At 54.8% G+C, this 20,320-nt stretch overlaps 1 protein-coding gene across 3 annotated transcripts in view, besides 2 other annotated features; it reads right to left on the bottom strand.

Moving 5' to 3' along the window:
- LMX1B (LIM homeobox transcription factor 1 beta) overlaps positions 1 to 20,320 on the bottom strand; it is an 87,105-nt gene that overhangs the window by 39,119 nt on the left and 27,666 nt on the right. The window lies entirely within an intron of this gene.
- Positions 7,203 to 7,702: an enhancer, noted in NCBI's record as "H3K4me1 hESC enhancer chr9:129416491-129416990 (GRCh37/hg19 assembly coordinates)". NCBI's record gives its function as "activates a minimal SCP1, AML or CMV promoter by ChIP-STARR-seq in naive H9 embryonic stem cells {active_cell/tissue: H9 hESC(naive)}" and the evidence as "EXISTENCE:reporter gene assay evidence [ECO:0000049][PMID:30033119]".
- Positions 8,860 to 9,739: an enhancer, noted in NCBI's record as "H3K4me1 hESC enhancer chr9:129414454-129415333 (GRCh37/hg19 assembly coordinates)". NCBI's record gives its function as "activates a minimal SCP1, AML or CMV promoter by ChIP-STARR-seq in primed H9 embryonic stem cells {active_cell/tissue: H9 hESC(primed)}" and the evidence as "EXISTENCE:reporter gene assay evidence [ECO:0000049][PMID:30033119]".

Here is a 20,320-nt window from a genome sequence, read left to right as displayed (position 1 = left end):
GTTCAGAGGGTAGGGAGATGACTGATTGAGGCGGCTGAGGGCTGCAGGGGCCACTGGGCCAGGGGGCGCTGCAGGCCTGGCCAGGTGTCCCCCTCCCCTCTGCAGCGGCCACACCTTGCAGGAAACCCTCAGGGCTCCAAGGATAGAGAGGGGCAGGCCAAGCCCCTCCCACTGGGGCCTGGCATTCTCAGGTGCCTGCTCAACTCGGGCCCCGCAGCCACACTGCAGGCTGGCAGGTGGGGAGGGGTGGGCGGGGCCCCACAGGGCTCCACAGAGCCCCAGGCTCCTGGTGGCCCAGCTGAGCTGGGGCAGTTGGGGCAGGAGGGAGGGGCCTCCCTTGTCTGGGGTTCCTCTGAAAGCCGCCTCTCCATGGCCTCCGGGGCTGGCCCATTAAACCTGCTCCTGCTGCCCCACAAACAGACAGCGACCATGTGCTTCGGCTCAGCCTCTGTGCCCCCTACAGTGGCCCTCCACCCACCATACCCAGAGCAGCTGCCCCATCCTGGCTGCCTAGTCTGTCCAACTGCTCAGAAACCCACTCTGGCCCCGACAGACAGAGTTCCTGGAGAGAAGCCAACAGGGCCTTGAAGGGGGCCAGGCATGAGGCGTCCACGCTGGCCTGAGAGGTCGCCCTGCGTGGGGCGTCCACGCTGGCCTGGGAGGTCGCCCTGCGTGGGGCGTCCACGCTGGCCTGAGAGGTCGCCCTGCGTGGGGTGTCCACATTAGCTTGAGGGGTCGCCCTGTGTCAGGGCATCCACACTGGCCTCAGAGGTTGTCCTGTGTATGGGCGTGTCTACTACGGTTAGAGGCTGCCTTGTGTGAGGCTGTCCCATGTGGGATGTTTTCCAAATTTCCATTCTTCTTCCCCTGGCTACCTCTTACCCATCCCAGATCCCAGCTCTAAGTTTAGACGTTGCTTTTGTAGGGACATCCTCTGTGGGGTCCCTTGACTGGTTGAGCACTCCTGTTCTGACTCTCCAGCAGCTGCCTGTGGGTCCCCTATCATGGCGTCTCCCAAAATGCCCTGTCACTGCCTGTTTCATCATTTGTGTTGAGTCCAACCCAAGAACCACAGTAGGCATTGACTTCAACTGGCTTGGTTGGAGCTGCCGCCACAGCCACACTACGGGCTCAGGGAATACTGTTGTTAGGTGAAAGAAGGGGCAGATAAATAGTAGAGTTCAGTGGAGATCACCCCAAGGGTTCACATCAGCCTTTGCAATCCCCCTCACATGGATTCCAAGCTCTTCTATGGGTTTACCATGTTCTAGGCTTTGATACAAGCCTTTCACAATGTTAACTCAGTTAACTCTCACAGTGACCAGTGGAGGTGGCTACTGCTACTAACTCCAGTTTACAGATGAGAAAACTGGGGCACAAAGAGGGTAAGTGTCTTGTCCAAAGTCTCACAGTAGTCGAGCTGGGGTTTGACCCCAGGCCACCTGGCTGCAGCATCCACATTCATTGCTATACTATTTACACTGCCCTTAGAAGTCACTTCTTGGGCAGCTCCAAGCAGTTGTACACGGACCACAGAAAGCTTACATTGCCTTGGCCACACCAGGACAAACTATAAGGCCAGCGTAGACACACACATAGGACAACCTCTGAAGCCAGTGTAGACACCCCCACACAGGACAATCTCTAAGGCTAGGGTAGACACCCCCACACAGAACAATCTCTAAGGCCAGTGTAGACACCCCCACACAGGACAACCTCTGAAGCCAGTGTAGATACCCCCACACAGGACAATCTCTAAGGCCAGTGTAGACATCCCCACACAGGACAATCTCTAAGGGCAGTGTAGACACCCCCACACAGGACAACCTCTGAAGCCAGTGTAGACACCCCCACGCAGGACAACCTCTGAAGCCAGTGTAGACACCCCCACACAGGACAATTTCCAAGGCCAGTGTAGACACACACAGGACAACCTTTGAAGCCAGTGTAGACACCCCCACACAGGACAATCTCTAAGGCTAGTGTAGACAAACACACAGGACAATCTCTAAGACCAGTGTAGGCACCCCAGATAGGACAATCTCTAAGGCCAGTGCAGACACTCCCACACAGGACAATCTCCAAGGCCTGTGTAGACACACATACAAGATAATCTCTGAAGCCAGTGTAGACATTCCCACATAGGACAATCTCTAAGGCTAGTGTAGACAAACACACAGGACAATCTCTAAGGCCAGTGTAGGCACCCCCAGATAGAATAATCTCTAAGGCCAGTGTAGACATCCCCACACAGGACAATCTCTAAGGCTAGTATAGACACACACACAGGACAATCTCTAAGGCCAGTATAGACACACATACAGGACAATCTCTAAGGCCGGTATAGGCACCCCCACACAGGACCACCTCTGAAGCTAAGCCAGCATCATCAGAGCCAGCAGAGCCCCTGGCCTGAGAATGTGTGGAGAGGCTGGATGGGCCATGCCCGCCCTGCTGGGATGAGGAGGGATGGGGGCCTACAGGGCCGACCTAGCCCTGGCCCAGCTGGAGCACAGGACAGCCTCCTGGGGACAGCGTGAAATTGCCATTCTCCACTAAGGAGCCGCTGCTGGAGGGCGCCTTCCCAGCCCAGCTGGGAGAGGGTCAGCAGTGCCCCTGGACACGTTCTGCCCAGGCCTGGGACCCTCCTCACCACCTGCCCAGCACTGGTGGCCAGGACAAGAACCAGACAGGCTTGGGGCATGAGTTGCCTGAAGCTGTCACTCTCTATGGGGGAAGGGGGCCCATTCAGGCCTGTGACAGGGCCCTTCTGGGGCTAGACAAAAGGCCCTGGCTCCCAGCAACAGACAGTAAGAAGTGTGCCTGTGAGTGCGTCTGAGCGTCTGCATGCCTCTCTGTGCGTGCATGAAGGAGAGGATACCTCGGCAGACCCCAGCCCCAGAACACCCGCCTCTCAGCCCCCTGAAGGGTCCCTCCCACCCTGTATCCCAGCCTTGGATCAGGCCTGCCCCATCCTATGTGGGGCTTCTGGGTGCCTCTTGCCTCCAGTATGGACTTCTCATGTCCCCAGGAAGTCCTCCTTCTCTCCACAGCAAACCAGGCCTGATACAGGCAAGGGGGCTTTCTGAATTTGAACCCCCGGTCTCTCCTGCTGCAATGAATGCAAATGACTTTCCCAGGTTTTGGCTTGATAATTTGATTATTTGTTCGGCATTTATCTTAAGCAAAGTGGATGACAAATAACTGCAAACTAATGTGATAAAAGCCATTTATAAAGCTGCCTCGTTCGGGGGCCTTCCCCTAACTATTTATGACAAGGTAATAACGCTGCCGGGTGCGGCCGCCTGCCTTTAAATTGGTTACTTAGAGGCATGATGGATGAGGGGCGAGGCCACCTTCTTCTGAGGAGAGCTCCTGATTTCTGATCTCATTTTTGAGGATAATGAATTATATCTAATTAGTCCTTCCCAAATCTAATCAGGAGCTGGGAATGTGGACCAGAGGGAGGGGGCTGGCAGGCGGCAGGGAGGGCAGGGGGTCAGCAGCAGGGGTGCCCGGGCCCGGCAGCCAGGGGGAGGGCCAGCCGAATTTGAGGCTGGCTTGCTGTTACCCACTCCCCACACCCTGGCCAAAGGGATCCAGAGCTAGTAAGTCCCTCCCTCATTTTAGAGGCTTGACTCCCTTTCTCCAAACCCCAAGCCTGACATTTGGTACCCTTTGTAGACTCACCCCCCTCCTGCCCTGTCCCACTCCTACAACCCAGCCCCCACATTCCCCAGACACAGACCCCTGACCTCTGCACTTGGCTGGGGATTCCCTCTCTGCCCTTCATACCCAGGAGTCTCCGGCTTGGTTGTTCCCACTCAGGTCCCTTGGCCCCTCTTCTAAGACCTCCCCATCCCACTGCTTATTCCCCCAAGCAAGGACCTAAGTAGGGCCTCTTGCCCAGCCTCTTCTGGAAACTCTGATCACTGGACGGCTAGCCCACCCTGGACTGTGCTGCTAAGTGAGGCAGGCACCCCTTCTTCTGGCCAGACAAAGGACTGTGCCAGGTCCAGTCCCCAACTCACTCCTAGGCTGGGTGCCCTCATGCAGGGAATGTCCTGCATCACAGAAATGGACAGCCCTAGGTGATCTCACAAAACTGGGAGCTCCCTGCGGTTCCTTGACTTATCTTGGTATGTTCTTCATCTCATACGCTGGCTGGCGCATAAGCAAGTCCTCACTAGTGGCCGAATGCTTGCCTGAATGAATGAATGGATGCATCAAGATTCTCCCACTTCCAAAACTCTGGCCCGGGAGCTGCAGAGCCAGGGCATGCGTGCCCCTGTGGAAATGGCAAGGGCTCTGTGGTGAGGATGCCCAGCCAGCCTCCCTGAGGAGGCTTCCAGGATCCAAAGTCTGTGGATCTTCTCCCCCCAACCCCAGTCCTGACCCCAGATGCAGGCAGGCATCCCCTGCTCCCAAGGATAAGGTGATCCTGGAAACATGTCACCATTGGGGAACAGACTTGCACATAAGCAGAGTTCTGCTTGCAGAGAACTGAAAGTAGGGTCAGATTCTCAAATATGCTTTGCCTATTTCATGCATTTTGTGCGTCATATCAGATACCTGACCAAGAAAGATACTTGCCAGCATTTTATGCTCTACCATATTTATGTGTTTAAATGTCATTATTTCTCTTCACCATCAGACAGTCTTATGTTCACTTTGCCAAGCTGGTGATGTCTACCTTTGTGGGAAAAATGTTTCTTCTTACTAGTAATAGTGCTTTTATTTTGCCCAGTTCTCACTTATTTTACTTTTTCAAAATCTCAGAACAAAATGCAATAAAATATTGAAAAAATTGCACAAGTGCTGCTTAAAAGGTGGCAGTAGGGCCAGGCAAGTGTTAGGTGACCAGGGCCACCCCTAAGAGTGTGAATCCTTCTTTCATCAGGCAATAGGAAAAAGCCAGATCTGGGATAGAGGGAGTTTTGAGGGTCTGGCACATAGAAGGTCAGAGGGCCTGGTGTCTTTCCCTACTCAGTGCTTCTCAATTAGAGGTGATTTTGCCTCAAGGGGCATTCAGCCATGTCTGGAGACATTTTTGATGGCCATGGACTGGGGGATGCGGTGCCAGTGGCATCCTGTGAGTGGCAGCTGAGATGCTGCTGAACACCCTACATGCATAGGACAGCCTCCCACAACAAAGCATGAGCTGACCCACCACATCAACCTGCTGAGCCTGAGAAACCTTGCAGTCAACTGTTTTAGACTCATATGTCAGAGAACTCAGCTCTCACCTGCTGAGAGCATGCAGGCTTGAGGGATGGGCAGGAGGAACACACCACTGCCCTCCAGCTAGGCTCCCACCTCTCCCCATGTCCCAAGAGTTCCCTGAGGCATCACATCCCTTCCTTCCTCGGTACAGTGGCCTTCAGAAATGCCTCCTCCAAGTGGCTTCTGAGGCCTTCGTCCTTGTCTGTCTGAAACCATGAGCCTGGGGAGATGGCCTCTGAGGATCTATCTATCCTATCTATCTATCTATCTATCTATCTATCTATCTATCTATCTATCTATCTATCTAAAGACCAGATCTCACTATGTTGCCCAGGCTGGTCTTGAACTCCTGAGCTCAAGTGATCTGCCTGCCTTGGCCTCTCGAAGTGCTGGGATTACAGGTGTGAGCTACTGCATCCGGCCTGAAGATCTTGTTTAATATTTCACTTCAACAGAGGTGCTCATTGACACCTGTCTGTTTTCCATTCCTCATTTAAGGAAACTGCAAAAAATAAATTTGGTAAAAATATATCTATTCTCCCAATGAACTCATCAGCCTCCTGTGGTCAGACAATGTGAATTCTCTCTCTCATCCCATTTTTCCTTCCACCTGGGCTGCTAGGATGCTCAGAGTTCAATTTAATCCTCTACTTCAGTGGAGATTGGCCTGGGCATTTGACATACTTCCCCCGTACACTCTAGGGATTTGATCCTCTGCTTTTATTTTTGAGAACCTGACTGACTCTTCGCCTCCTCTTGGAAGCTGTCTATACCCTTTTGGGAAGTAGCAGGTGTGCATCATAAACGAAAAGACGACCTGACATCCATGGCGCAGCTGTGAGCCAGGCACTACTTTCAATGATCAAAACAGCAGCACCCAACTTTGTGAGCATACTAAAAACCACTGAATTGTACACTTCAAAATGGTGAATTTTATGTTATGTGAAATTTTATGTTATGAAAACAATACCTAAAACAAAACAAACAGTATCATTGTATCTCCATTTCCAAGGGAAGCTTAGCAAAGTGATTCACCCAAGGTTGATTCATTCATTCAACAAGCACTTTTTTTAGCCCCTACTACGTGCCAGGCATTGCTCTGGGTCTAAGAATACATCCGTGAACAAAACAGGAGAAACCTCTCCCTCCTTGCTGCTTACCACGTGGAGGGCCTCTCAGCTAGTAGGGGACAAAGCCGGGATTCCACTCCATGACACGGTCACCTTAAAGCTCCCCTTACCATCTGTTTGTCTTCCCTCTTGAGACAGAATTCCTCTGTGCTGGGCAGGTGTCCCTGGCCAGCTCCCTCACCCCCACCGGCATTCTCCTCCAGCACCTGCCACTGCCTCCAGTGCTGGAGGGGTGGTCTAGGGCAGCCAGGACCCTCAGATGCCCTCATCGAAGGGGGCCACCACATCGGGTGAGGCGGCAAGGCTCACAAGGCCTCTGAGGCCAAGCAGTGGTCAGGGCTGAGCTGCGGACAACCTCCTGACAGTGGCCCCAGGCCAGGGCATCTTTGGGCACCTCCAAAAAGTTGATTATCCCATGGCAAAAGCACAAGTCTTCGTCACATTCACTCTCATCACCTCTTCCTTTGCTCCTCCCAGGAGTGCATGAGGAAGATCCTAACACCACCGCCCCATTTCACAGGGTAAAGGGACTTGCCCCAGGTCACAACAGGAAGCAACAGACCCAGGACTGGGTGTCACAGCTGTGGGGGATGGGGGTATGGCAGTGAGTGCTGGGTAGGTTGGCAAGACCAGGCCTGGGGGCTGGGAGCCCAGGTCCAGTGGAGAGAAGGGGAGAGTTCCAGAAATGATTAGTAGGGTGAATGTCTAGGCCTGGATGGCCAACCATTAGCCTGATGCAGGGGGTGGGGAGTAAAGATGAGAGATACCAAGCCTACCCTCTCCTCTTCTCATGGGCCCACCTGGCTCTCCGTGGCATGCTCAGAGTCTGGCATCCAGCAGGCACTCAGCAGTTGCTCCTCGTTTCCTTCTCTAGAGCCAGGTGCTCAGACCTCGGCAGTGGAGTCACTGGGAGAAGACAGAGGGCACATGGGGAAGGCTCCATTCTGGGATGTGTGGCTACAGTTTGGGCAAGAGAGAAGCAAACAGTCTCTCCTTCTACCTGCTCCAGCCCCTGGCTGGCTGCCTCCACCCTAAGTGGGCATGCCAGGCCAACCTGGTACCTACCACCAACCTACCTGTTCATCATTCACACAAACTAGATTCAGGTGCCCGTTCCCCACCTCATAGACAGGCTCACCACACTAAACCAGACACAGTCTCTGCCTCCAAGTTATTTGCTGTCTCTGGGGAAGGCTGCTGAGTAAACAGACCATGACAATACGTGAAATCAGGGCTGGAGTGGGGGAGGCATGGGGGTCTGTGGGAGCCCAGCCAGGGGGCAGCAACCCTGAGCAGAGTGTCAGGGAAGGTTCCCGGGATAGGACGTTCAGCTGAAACCTGCGCAAGGGCAGGAGCTGCCCAAGAGGAGGAAGCCTGAGTGGGCGCAGCCAGGACAGTGTGGCATCTCGGGAGTGGCTCAGAAGGGCTGGAACAAACACAGAGAGTGGAGACTGGTGGGATGAGTAGGGCCCCAGCAGCGGCATATTCCACATTCTTATCCTAAGAATGGTGGAGCTGTAGGGGATCGGGGTATGGCAGTGAGTGCTGGGTGGATTGGCAAGACCAAGCCTGGGAGCTGGGAGTCCAGGTCCAATGGAGAGAAGGGGAGAGTTCCAGAAATGATTAATAGAGTGAATGTCCAGGCCTGGATGGCCAACCATTGGCCTGATGCAGGGGGTGGGGAGTAAAGATGAGAGATACCAAGACAACGTCCTAATGTTCAGCTTGGGGGCCTGGGAGGTGGAGGTGCCATTTAATAAGATTAAATAACAAAACAACACAACACAACCCAGGGGGCTGGGGATGAAGGGTGGGAGGGAGCTGAGTGTGGTCATGAAAGGGCAACAGGAGGGATCCTGTGGGGGCAGATCCGGGAACGTTCGCATGTGATAAATTGGCACAGAGCTCCATGCACAAACGCACCCAACACTGGAGAAGTCTAAGTGCAGTCGGCACTGTGTTGACGTGGACGTCCTAGCTGTGATGTTGTCCCGCGGCTGTGCAAGACTGGGCAAAGGGTACAGGGACCTCTCTATTTTTTGCAATTGCCTATGAATCTACAATTATCTCAAAATAAAAAGCTGAATTAAAAAGCATCTACTTAGGGCCAGGCATGGTGGGTCAAGCCTGTAATCCCAACACTTCGGGAGGTCAAGGCAGGCAGAGCAATTGAGCCCAGAAGTTGGAGACCAGGTTGAGCAACATGGCAAAACCCCATCTCTACAAAAAAATACAAAAAATTAGTGGATGTGGTGGCATTCACCTGTAGTCCCAGCTCATCGGGGGTAGCTGAGGTAGGAGAATTGCTTCAGCCTGGCAGGTCAAGGCTGCAGAGAGCTGTGATTGTGCCACTGCACTCCAGCCCGGGTGACCAAGTGAGACCTTGTCTCAAAAAAAAAAAAAAAAAAAAAAAAAAAAGCATCTACTTGAAACAAAACAAAACACAGAGGGGAATGGGTTTGGGTTTGGGATGGGGGGATGTGTTTTAAGCTAAATCAGCTCCTAGCACAAAAAGACCCAGGCACCGCTCTGTTCCTATCTTCAGGCAACCCTGGGCCCTTTTGCTGGGTTTGTTTTCAGTCTTGCCCAGCCCTCAGCTGGCCCATCCTGCTCCCCTGATCTGGCCCGTGCCTTGGCCTCTCCACAGGCTCTTTTCTTCTCCATCAACACCCGCTGGGGCTACACCTCAGCATCCATGGAGCCTCTTCCCCATTGTCCCTGCTGTGCCCACAAGTGAACTGTGATGTCACAACCTCTGCTCCTGACCCATCCCCTTGTTCCCACAGGCTCCAGGTACTTCACTCTGGAGACAGGACATGGGTGGGATTGGCAGGGACCCCCATCATGTGGACGCCAAGCAGTGCCCAGTCCAGTCCAGGCCCAGATCTGAGTCCCTTCTTTCTCCTGTGCCGAGGGCAGATGTACTCTGTGCCCATCCACACACACACACAGTCACGCACAGGTGGGAGCACAAACTGGCCTGGAGATGTGTACACACGGAGGACAGACCTGCACACACGAAGACCATGGGATGCACATTCACGTAGCATTAGCGGTAGCCACGTTCCCGTGTGGACACACACACCCTGGAGCCAGCCCCGCCCATGCGGCCGCACCCCCACCTGCAGGAAGGCTTCCCTGCCAGGTGCAGTTATCGTTCCAAACAAACCCCCAGCTGATAAGGAGACTGCCTTTGAACGGGAGCCCTTCCCTCCTCTGTGATCAGATAAGCAGGCCGGGAAGAAAGAGAAAATCCCCCCCCCCTTCTCCTCCTCAGACTCCTGCTGCTCCACACAGGGGCTGCCTGGGGGCCTGCAGCCCCCTCCTGCCGCGCCCCCTCTCAATCATGCCTCGGATCACAGGATCACAGGCACCGTGACAGGCAGCTCCTCCGGTTTGGGTTTCAATCGGGAGAGCTGCAGCCTCAGGCAGCCAAGCCGGGCCCCTCCACCTGGGTCTGAGGGGCCACTGGATCTCTGTTGTGAGGACCCTGCCTCAAGGGTCCTGGCTGTTGGGACCCCCAAGCCTTGGAGTATCCCACCGCAGGCAGGCCCCCCCCCATCTCTGGCCACTACCGAGGCTTGTGGTTTGATTTGGGTTTCTTTTTGTCTCGATGGCCCTGGCTGGTAGGGTCCCTGTTCAAACTAGATTGTGGGATCCTCCACCTAGGCCCCTGGCTTGTAGGGTCCTACTCATAGGGGACTCACCAGTTTGTCGGATTCCTCAGAGCAGACCCCGCCTGTTGAACTCCCAGCTCAGACCCTGGTCTGTGGGATCCTCATCTCAGAGATGCTGGGGACAGGGACCCTGTTCTCAGAGGCTCTAATTTCTGAGCACCCCATGTTCCTGAATCTGGGTCTGTGGGACCCCTCTCCTCCCTGCAGTGAGAACTGAGTCGGCCTCAGGAGAGGAGCGGGGCCCAGGGGAGAGGGGTCAGGCAGTGGGTTACAGGGCAGCGTTCCCATGGCCCTGCCTGGGGCTAAGGCGTAATTAGAGGTCTCAGGTGTGTGTGTTGTTGGGAGGGGGGGAGAAGAAGGTGGGCTCCAAGGCCCTTCGTTTTGTTTATCCTTCACAAAGACCCCCAACAGGAGGCCGCTGTCCCCTTGAGACAACCCTGCAGTCTCAGCTCTGGGCTGACCCCCGCCCCCTGTGCCCCACCCCTTGCACCTGCCAGCTGCCTGCTGAGGAGGATGGCAGCCCTCGGGGTCTGGGGACAGATAGGCCAGGCTGCCCTTCCCGGGGCAGCTTGGAGCCACCCCCCCCAGTCCCTCCTTCCAGGTGCCTCCCCCACTCAGCTGACTCAACAGAAAACCCCATGATTTATTTATGCCCAGGAGCAGCCTCTGCCCGGGATGGAGGAGGATCAGTCAGCCCCAGCACGGAGAGAAGGAGGGAGAGAGAGAGAGATGGGGAGGGAGAGAGAGAGAGAGATGGGGAGGGAGAGAGGGGCAGGCCCTTCTCCTCCACCCTGGAGCCCCATCCAGGACCTGTCCCCATGTCCCCACATCCTAGGAGTCCTTCCCCATCACCGCCTCATCTGGGCCTTAGCAGACTCAATTACTTATAATAAACAATTCCGTTTATCTTTATCAGAATCATTATCTAAATTGGCTACATGACACATACTGTTCTCTAAGTGTGCCCCGGGGAGGAGGGGCCATAAAAGCTGGGTTCTGCACTCCGTAATTATCCCTCTATGGGCCATAAACCATTACACTGGTGTTTAAAATAGGTATGGCGAGCAGTTTCCCTGCCTGCCGAGGGCCGCCCAGGGCACCCACAGAAAGGATGCGCAGCAAGTTTTGCTGCAGCCAACAACTTCCAGCGGCTTGGAGGCTCCTAGCGGGCTCCTGCCTGCCCCGGCCACACTGGCCTCAGGAAGGGAGAGGGGCTGGCCTGAGTGGTGGGCAGTGCCGAGAGGCCAGGAGCGAGGGGGCCACCAGGCCTGCCTGGGGCTTTCCCGCTGCCCTCCGGTGTCATTAACATCCTCTTTCCAGGACAACTGGTCCTTCTCCCTGGCCGCTGCTGACTCGGGTTTCCCTCGCTGTTTGCAGAAGCGCCTCCACCGCCCATGGGGCTGGCCTCCCCTTTATCGTCCCCAGGGAGGGCCACATCAGCATCTCACCCATGATTAAAACAAAACAAGGCTGCCCCCTCGGAGCTCCCGCCTGCCTCTCAGCTGACCGGTCAGAGCTGCAGCTCTGGTCTCGGCTTCCCAGAGGCCTCTGCTCCCTCTGGCCCCTAGAAAAGATGACCAAGGTCTGTGACCCTACAGATGGCCCACATCCCTGGCGGCCAAGTCCCTCACTTGACGTGCCAGAACATGCCACCGACTTCGGGGCAGGGCAGGAAGCTCCTTATCTGAAGTCTCCTATGCCCAGCCCTCCTCAGTGGGCTCAGGAGTCCCCAGCATGTGGGACAAACAGAGACAAAAGGCTGCTGAACAGAGGGGCTCCTGGCTGCTGCCTCTGCTGGGGGATGTAGGAGAGGATGAACAGGGGCTCACCAAGCTGAGAAGGGGAAGAAGGAACATTCTCAACAGCAGGCACAGCAGGTGCCAAGCTTCGCAAGCAGGGATGGAACTGATGTTTGAGAACAGTACAAAATTTGTTGTGCTTGCACCAGTGGTTCTCTGCCAGGCTCGGTGGCTCACACCTGTAATCCTAGCACTTTGGGAGGCCAAGGTGGGCAGATTGCTTGAGCTCAGGAGTTTGAGACTAGCCTGGGAAAGATGGCGAAACCTGGTCTCTACACAAAAATACAAAAATTAGCCAGGCATGGTGGCATATGCCCATAGTCCCAGCTACTTGGGAGGCTGAGATGGGGAGGATCACTTGAGTCCAAGAGGCAGAGATGGCAGTGAGCCAAGACTGCGCCACTGCACTCCAGCCTGGGGGACAGAGCAAGACCCTGTCTCAAAAAAATAAAAATAAAACAACAGAGGTTCTCAAGATGAGGTTCCCCCATCAGTGGCCTCAGCATCACCTGGGATCTTGTTAGATATGCAAATTCTTGGGCCCCAGCCCAGACTCACTAAATCAGAAACTCTGGGAAAGTAGCGGTGCCAATCCATAGTTGAACAGGCTTGCCAGGGGATTCTGAGGCCTGCTTGAGTTGGAGAACTCTGGTTCTAGAGCACACAAGGGACGGGGCTGGGAGGACGCAGGGAGGAAAAGCAGGAGAGATGCCTCTGGAAGATTCCTAGAGGTCTTGAGTCCCTGAAAGGGTGATAAGAGCATGGAAGGCTTTTAAGCAAGCAAGTGACAGGGTCAGACCTTAAAAAAGTTCACTCTGACTTCAGGGCCGGGGAGGCAGACAGCAGGCAGGGAGGCCAGGAAGAGGTTGATGCAGTTGTTCAGAGGAGGGATGGGGAGGCCTGGGATAGGGGAGGTGAAGGGGACGGAGAGAAGGGGACAGATTTGAGTGATGGTCAGGGGGTCAAATGGTCAGCCTGTAGGTGAGGGAGAGGGAGCAACAAGGAAGATACAGGTAGCTTAGACCTAAGTACCTGGGAAGATGGTAGGTGCCTCTCACCAAGACAGGAAGCAGGCAAGCAGGCCAGGTTCTGGATGGGCGGGTGTAAGGACCATGACTTCAGATCATGCTGCTTCTAAAGGACCAGCAGAGCTTCCCGTGCGGCATGGCCTGATCCGGGTGGAGCTCTGCCTCTGGGAGTTGACCACGTGCAGAGGAGGCTGCAAGCCATTGCCTCCCTCCACCCAATTACCTGGTCCCAACTTTCAGTCCCTACTGTCACAGCCCCCTCAGTCCTGGTAACCTCTATGGTCCTAGGCAGCCTTGCCACCCCTGGTGCCTCCAACGGGCAGCCCAGCATCCCCCAGATTCCAGGCCTCATCTTCACCTGAAGAGTCATCACTCATGTACCTGTCCATCGATCTATCCATCCAGCTTGCTGTGCCACCAACATGCCCAATCTCTGTGCTCCTTGCTTTATATTAATGATCGTCCCCAGTCCTCTCATGCCCCCTGAGATGGATAATTAACACCATTTTACGGATGAGAAAATCAAGACTGGGAGAAGCCAAGTCACCTGCCCTGGGTACCACAGCTCACAGGAGGGAGGAGTTGAGATTTGAAGCCGGGTCCCGCCCCCAACACTCCATCAAGATGGTGCTTGCATTTTTCTCTAGCACAGAGCCTGGCCTGGTTCTCCCAGGGCAGGAAGGAGCCAGTGCCAGGGTGGGCAGACCCGCAGGGCTGGGACCTGCCTTCGAGGGAGGCTAGGGAGCCTCGAAGCCTCCTTAATGCGCCTATAACTCATTCCCTGGGTTCACTAATGTTCCCGGCTATTAGTGCCGAGCACAGCTAAGCAAACTTTCCTCTGACTCAACGATCAATTTCCATATTGTTACAAATGGAGTCCACGCCTGCCACGGTTCATTTTTCTTATAGGCCCTTTTTCTCCCCTTCCCTTTTCCCAGTTCAGTGAGGAAGTCATTACTGGGAGTTATGAATTTCACAACGTGCTGAAAAAATAAAAATGCATTGTGCATAGAGTCAGGGCCACCAGCTGGAAAGCTGCCTTTCCCATCACCCAGGGAGCTGCCAGGGTCAGGAGAGCAGAGTGGGAGGGCACAGACGGCAGCTCCCTGGGGACAGGAGGATGGAGGGTTGGAGGCAGATGTCGGATCTCTGGGGAGAGAGGTCTGTGTCCCTGTGAACTCACCCAGTCCATGCCTGGAACTGCCTCAGGCTGGCTGCTCGAGGCTTCTCATTTCCCAAAGGACACAGTGTGGGCTTGCGGAGTTGGGCCTGGTGTTGCGCTAACATCCCTGGGCTTCCCCAAGAAGCTAGTAACCTCATGCTTGGGCCAGGGCTCCACACTGCCCTGTGCAGGAGCCATCAGTTCCAAGGGTCCTCCCTGCGTGGCTTCCTGGAAGGAACTGCTGGGTCATGGATTTCCCCCTGAAGCACACAACACTTCAGCACCCTGAGCCACTGACCATTCTTAAACCAGGCAGATTTGAGTGAAAGTCAAGGGGTCAAAAGGCCAGGATGCAAACCCCACTGTCCATCATCAGGGGACTAGTTAAATGAACACTATGCCGGTGCACAGTGAGGAGGAGCTGAAGGCGCCAAGGTGAAAGGAACGGGCAAGTGAAAAATGCAAGCTGCCAAAAAGCATGTGCAGCACGGTCCCGGCGTGTCCCAAAGTTATGCATGTAGAACAGAATGTAAATGTGTCGAACGATGTCCAGAGGAAGTTATTCCACCTTCTAAGGGAGTTTATCTTCAGGGACTAGGCTTGGAGTAGGGGGAAGGATCTTTCATTTCTTTGCTTATATAGTCTGTATTATTTGAATTTTTCCTAGCATTTTTTTTTTCTTGAGATGGAGTCTCACTCTGTTGCTCAGGCTGGAGTGCAGTGGCTATTCACAGGTGCCATCATAGCACACTGCAGACTTGAACTCCTGGGCTCAAGCGATCCGCCAGCCTGTCTCCTGACTGGCTGGGAACAGGTGTGCACCATACTGCTTTTGTAATAATTTTTAAAACAATATTTGGTCAAAAGAGTGATCTCATTTGTTTCCTCTTACATAAGACCTTCCCTGATCCACCAAAGCAAAATGTGTTAGTCTTTCCTTTTAACGACCCCTTGAACCTTAATGCTAGAGCACCTATCACATTGTGTGTTCCACCCCCTACCCCCTTGTTAGACTGTGACCTCAGTGTTAGGAGCCGGTTGTTCAATGTACCTTAGCGATTCCAGAGCCAGCACAAGGAGCAGAGGGTGAGTATGAACAGGAACCTTGTCTGCTGTGTCTCAGTGAAAGGGCAGGGTCTGCACAGGGCAGGAGCTTGACAAAGATTTGCTGATTGGACCAAGAGTCTGGTTCTGGGAACACAGTCTCTGGCAGACTCTGCTCATCCACCAGAAGTAGAACCCAGGGGCTGAGGGGCTCATCTTACAGGGGCGCAACCTGGCTCTGGCCCCACGGGAGAGGGGCAGGCTGCACCTGGCCACCTGGACAGTCAATCTCTCCCCTGGACTGTGGGCCCCCGAGGGCAGGTGATGCCTGTAGGTTTCACTGTATCTTTATTTGCCTAACATGGGGTCTGTATGAAGTGGATCCTGAGTGACTACTGCATGGATGGAAAGACAGAGGGAGGGCTGGATGGATGGATGGATGGATGGGTAGATTGATGGACAGGTAGGCGGATAAGCGGATAGATGGGTGGATGGGTAGGTAGATGGATGGATGGGTAGGTAGATGGATGGATAGGTAGGTGGCTGGATGAGTAGGTAGGTGGATGGACAAATGAGAGTGGGAGGGATCAGGCACACCTTCCTGCTTTTTTAGATACGCAGACTTCCCTCTTGTCATCCATATTTTACCCTGACATGTCACTTCATATCAACATAGAGCAAAAACAGGTTTTCTGAGAGGAGGAACAGAGTTTAGCCCAATATTCTGCCCCTAATCACACTGCCAAGAAGGCAGGGATCTCAGGCCTTAAATGAGGAGAAGTGAGCTAGGATTCTAACCCTTTCCCCTGGTTTAATAATCGGCTCAGGAAGTATTTCTCGAATGCCTACTAGGTGGCAGATATGGTACCAAGCATGTTCTGAGAGCCAGAGCAGGCCCTACCCTCACTGGACTTCTATCTCAGGGGCACGGTGGGGCTGTTTTCCTGACCTCCCTCCCTCAGCGGCTTCTCCCCCACCCCATCCTCCACAAAGCAGTTGGGGTTCCAGAGCTCTCTTGCTGGAAATCCCCTGTGGCTCCCTTTGGACTCGAGAGTCAACTCCAACTCTTAAACATGGAATCCATGAATTCCGAGGACAAAGCCCACTTCCTCGCTAGCTCCTCCTGGAATGGTTCTCCAGAGACATCATCCCCTGACCTCCCTCCTTGTGTGCTCAAGGCTCCTGGAGGGCAGGTCTTCCACCCTCAGCCTTGCCAGCAGCATCTCTGACTTAAGGGATCTACACTGTTGACTTCTCCTCCGAGGATCTTCCCCCAGCAGGCTGCCCTATGTGGTTGTGTAGGTTGTTCACTGAACAAGATGCTCCTCGGAGGAGTGAGTGGGTTGAAATTCAGTCTGTGCTCAGCTTGGGAACGATGTCCCTTGCAAGAAGGGGTGGGTTAGAGATGGCCCTGCTCCCTGCCTGGCTGGAGGACAGACCTGAAGTACAGCAGGGATTTGGGATCCCATGTATGTCTCCCTCACAAGACTGACAAGACTGGGTGCTCCCCAAGGACAGGCTCCGGGTCTGAGTCCTTCCTGTGTCCCTCCACAGGGCTGACTAGGCCCAGGGGAGATGCCAGTGAACGGGTCTGCCAGGGATCAAGTGCAGAGTTCTGGAGAAAGGTGCCCATCTGGAGTGGTGTCTGGGAGAGGTGGTCTCTGGGAGGTGAGATCCCTGGTCTGAGCGATGGTCTTCCACATGGACCTCCAGTGGGGCGGTGGTGGGTGGTAGGGGGGGAACCCAGCCAGATGAACGCGATTCAAAGCGAGCTGGAACAACACAGCGTGGCAGGACGCCTATGCCGCTGGGCCAGGTGGGACAGGGGAGCCGAGTGTCTCCATAGGGTGGGGGCTCTATCACGGCAGACTGACAGCAGGTGGGCTGGGAGGGCAGGAGAAGCCCCCAGGCCCTCCGTCCTTGTCAGCGCTTGGCAGGGATTCTGAGGAACTCAACAGAATTGCTGAAAGGGCCTGTCTTGGTTGAGAGAATCCCAGGTGAAACACGCCTGTCTCCACCAGCTCCCGCCTAAGGAAGCTGCAGCCAGGAACTTCCATCAGCTTCAACCCCCGACTACATACCCTGCGAAGGTGGTGGTCCCATTTTACAGACAGGGAAGCCGAGGCTCAGGGAAGGGCAGGGACACGGCCAGGAAGTGGCAAAGTAGAGTTCTCACTCGGCTGAGCCAGAGGGCAAAGCCATTATCTTCCCCGAGCCCTGTTTCATGGAGGGACCACTCTGAGCATTTCACTCTATAATCCCACAATGCAGGGGGCCATGGGGCTTTGCAGAATTAAACAAGGAGCCTTAGACTAGGGAACAATTGATCCCCAAAGATAACTGTCCTAAGGCTGCGGGAAGGGCGGGCACTCCCTACCCCCGTCCTAGAGAAGGGAGCCAGTTATGCGGGAGAAGAATAGTGTGGGAGAGAGTGAACTTTCCCCCCTCCCTCTTCTGAGCCTGACTCCACCATCCTCTGCTGGCCATTAAAGCTTAAATGCTGACTTGGGAAGGGCCAGTCGGTCGATCAATAGCTCACCCAACAAACAGGTTTTTCCAAACTCGCACTTTATGGATTTCTCTCCTCATCTCATTCTTTAATCCTGACAGCTGCTGAGCTGATGGGGGAGACTCTCCAGCCTGGGAAACGACTTCAGCAGATACCCCCCGGTGGGGGCACAGGACACCGAGGACCCGGAGAGACCAGCGCGGGCCCACCAGCCCCGTTACCTGGCAGGGTGAGATGACTCCCACCTGGCCTCCAGATGGCCTTTATCAGCCGGGCCTCTTCTCCTCTCTGCTGCTGGGCAGTGCGGGCCAGTGACTGAGACTCCCTTGGTGGAGCTGGCCAGACCTGTTTCTAGTTCTGCCACTTTCTGGCTGTGAGACCTTGGCAAGTCACTTGACCCCGAGCCTCAGTTTCCTCATGTGCAAAGTGGGCATGAAAGTGGCGTCTACCTGGTAGGGCTACTGTGACAATTCAATGAGAAAACACAGTGCCTGGCACACAAGAAGTGCTCCATAAAGGTTATACAGTATTGATTCGAGTTAATTCCTTTTCAAGACCCCAGAAGCCCTTCAACCACCACCAAGTACTGGGGAAACACAAGGGAGTCCACGGACACACCCTGTGGCCCTGTACTGACAGGTGACCAGAGATCCCAGGATGCTCAGGACAGTCCTGGCTTATACTTGTGGTCCCAGCATAATTACTAATGACATCCCCTTTTGCCCAAAAGTGTCCCAGCTGGGATAATGAATGATTGCTATGTACACCTAATTTGTTGAGCTGCTCAGCTGTGTCAGGGACAAACAGGATATCACTAAATCTTGTCAACAATCTAGGGGAGTACAGATTGTGCTCCCCAGTTAGAGAGGAGGCAACGGAGGTTCAGAGAGGTTTTGTGAGTTGCCCAAGGACTCACAGTGGGCAGTGACTGAGCCAGGGTCACACTGCCGAGTCTGCATGACCCACTGCACCATGCCATCCCCATTCATCTGTTCTGCTGGCTCTATCAAAGGTGCACTTGAGCCTCAAAGAGAGTTGGCGCTCCCAGGGGCAGACAGAGGCCCTGAGACCCCCAGTTCCTCCTGCAGCTGTCTGGAAAGTACCCAGCTCCTCACCTCACCACAGGCAGGTTACTGAGAGCTGATCCAGCTACCTGGAGAACTGCCCCCCAGCCTCCACCCCTAGCCCCCAGCTGTGCACACAAGTCAGCCTGACCCGGGATAACAAGCTGTGAAGATCTTATCAGGCCCCTGATGGCTGATACTGACACCAGCAAGCTGTGCCCCTGCCCACTGCAGCCTCAGCTCCTCCCAGGCTGGGGAATCCTGTTTTCTTTCCTAAGTGGAACATCAGATTATTCAGGTCTGATTTCACTGACTGGGGGTGGGAAGAGAGCGCAGTCCACTTAACACCCAGACACAGGGTGAGGCCAATTCCCGATTTCCCGGGCTGCAGATCCATCATCCCTGGACGGGGTCCCTGTCCACAACCAGGGCTGACGGGGTTTCAGTCCATTTTCCCTTCCACCCCAGGGTGGGAATTTCTGAATGAGCAGAAAGGTAGTCTGTCTCATGCCTCCAAGACAAGGAGAATGATCTAAGATGATCAACAGAAGCATTTCTTCCCCCTTGTTTCACTCCATTCACTCAGCAGACCCTCCCCAGTGTCTATATTATGGCAGTAGAGACCCACCCTCCGGGAACACCCATGCAGTGAGGGAGACGGTGGCAAAGCCACATGACAAGGGCTGGGACAGCTGGGGGTGCCCAGAGGAGGCAGGGCCAGCCCCTCCAGGCAACCTGGGGTGGCTCTTCGGGGGATGACCTGGGAGAAGCAGAGTTTGCCCGGTGAAGAGAAGGAAAAAAGCATTCTTGGTGGAGGAAACAGTGTAGACAGGGGAAGTGGGAGTGTGGGTGGCACTGAAGCTCTGGTGATAGCACCGAGGGCGGGTGGAAGAAAGACGGTGAACCACCTGAAGCCCTGGCATCAGGGCTGCAATCTCTCTGGAAGGGGCCAGGAGATCTTGGAATGGCTGTGAGGAGAGGTTTGGGACACAGGATCTGGGGACTTCACTCACACACACATATGCACTCACAGGTCCGCTCAGCCAGCTGCGTGCTCAGGAATCTTTCCCAGGCCCGGGTGTGCCAGGCCCTGTTGTAGCAGCAGCAGGCAGACTGCGAGCAGGACAGACTCAGCTCCAGCCTCCTAGGCTGGCCAGGGACACACATATGAGCACAAACTGCCTTGGCATTAGGTGCCACGAGACACACCAGAGCTGTGGGGTGGAAGAACTGTTCCAGGTGGGGGCTTCGAAGGGGTTGTTGGGGGAAGCTGTGAATCTTAGCTAGGACCCCAGCAGGAATGGGTCTGCTCTGAGGCTGTTGCGTCATCTGTAAAATGGGGATAAGCTGGTCCCTATCTCACAGAGTTCTGAGAGAACGTGGGTGAAGTGCTCTGCCCAGGGCCTCGCTGGGATGGGGGCACATCAGCTGTGACCACAATTGCTCACGCGTGAGTGGCAAGAGGCTGGGTGCTGTGGACAGCAGCTGTGTGGAAGGTGGATTGGATCCAGCAGAAACCTGGGAGAGATGGTGAGACTGGAATCCCCCAGGAGGAGGGAGAAGAGAGTCCCCTTGAAGAAAGAGCCTCCCCAGTGCAGCTCAGCAAGCAGCGTGGTGGGTTCCAGCGGAGGGACTGGCTCAAGGACAGAAACTTGAGCTGCTGAACAGAAGCGGGAGGTGGCAA

This window comes from Homo sapiens, chromosome 9 (assembly GCF_000001405.40).
Source record: "Homo sapiens chromosome 9, GRCh38.p14 Primary Assembly".
Lineage (NCBI taxonomy): Eukaryota > Metazoa > Chordata > Mammalia > Primates > Hominidae > Homo > Homo sapiens.
The sequence above is the reverse complement of the archived record's forward strand: the minus strand, read 5'-3'. Positions and strand labels throughout refer to the sequence as shown.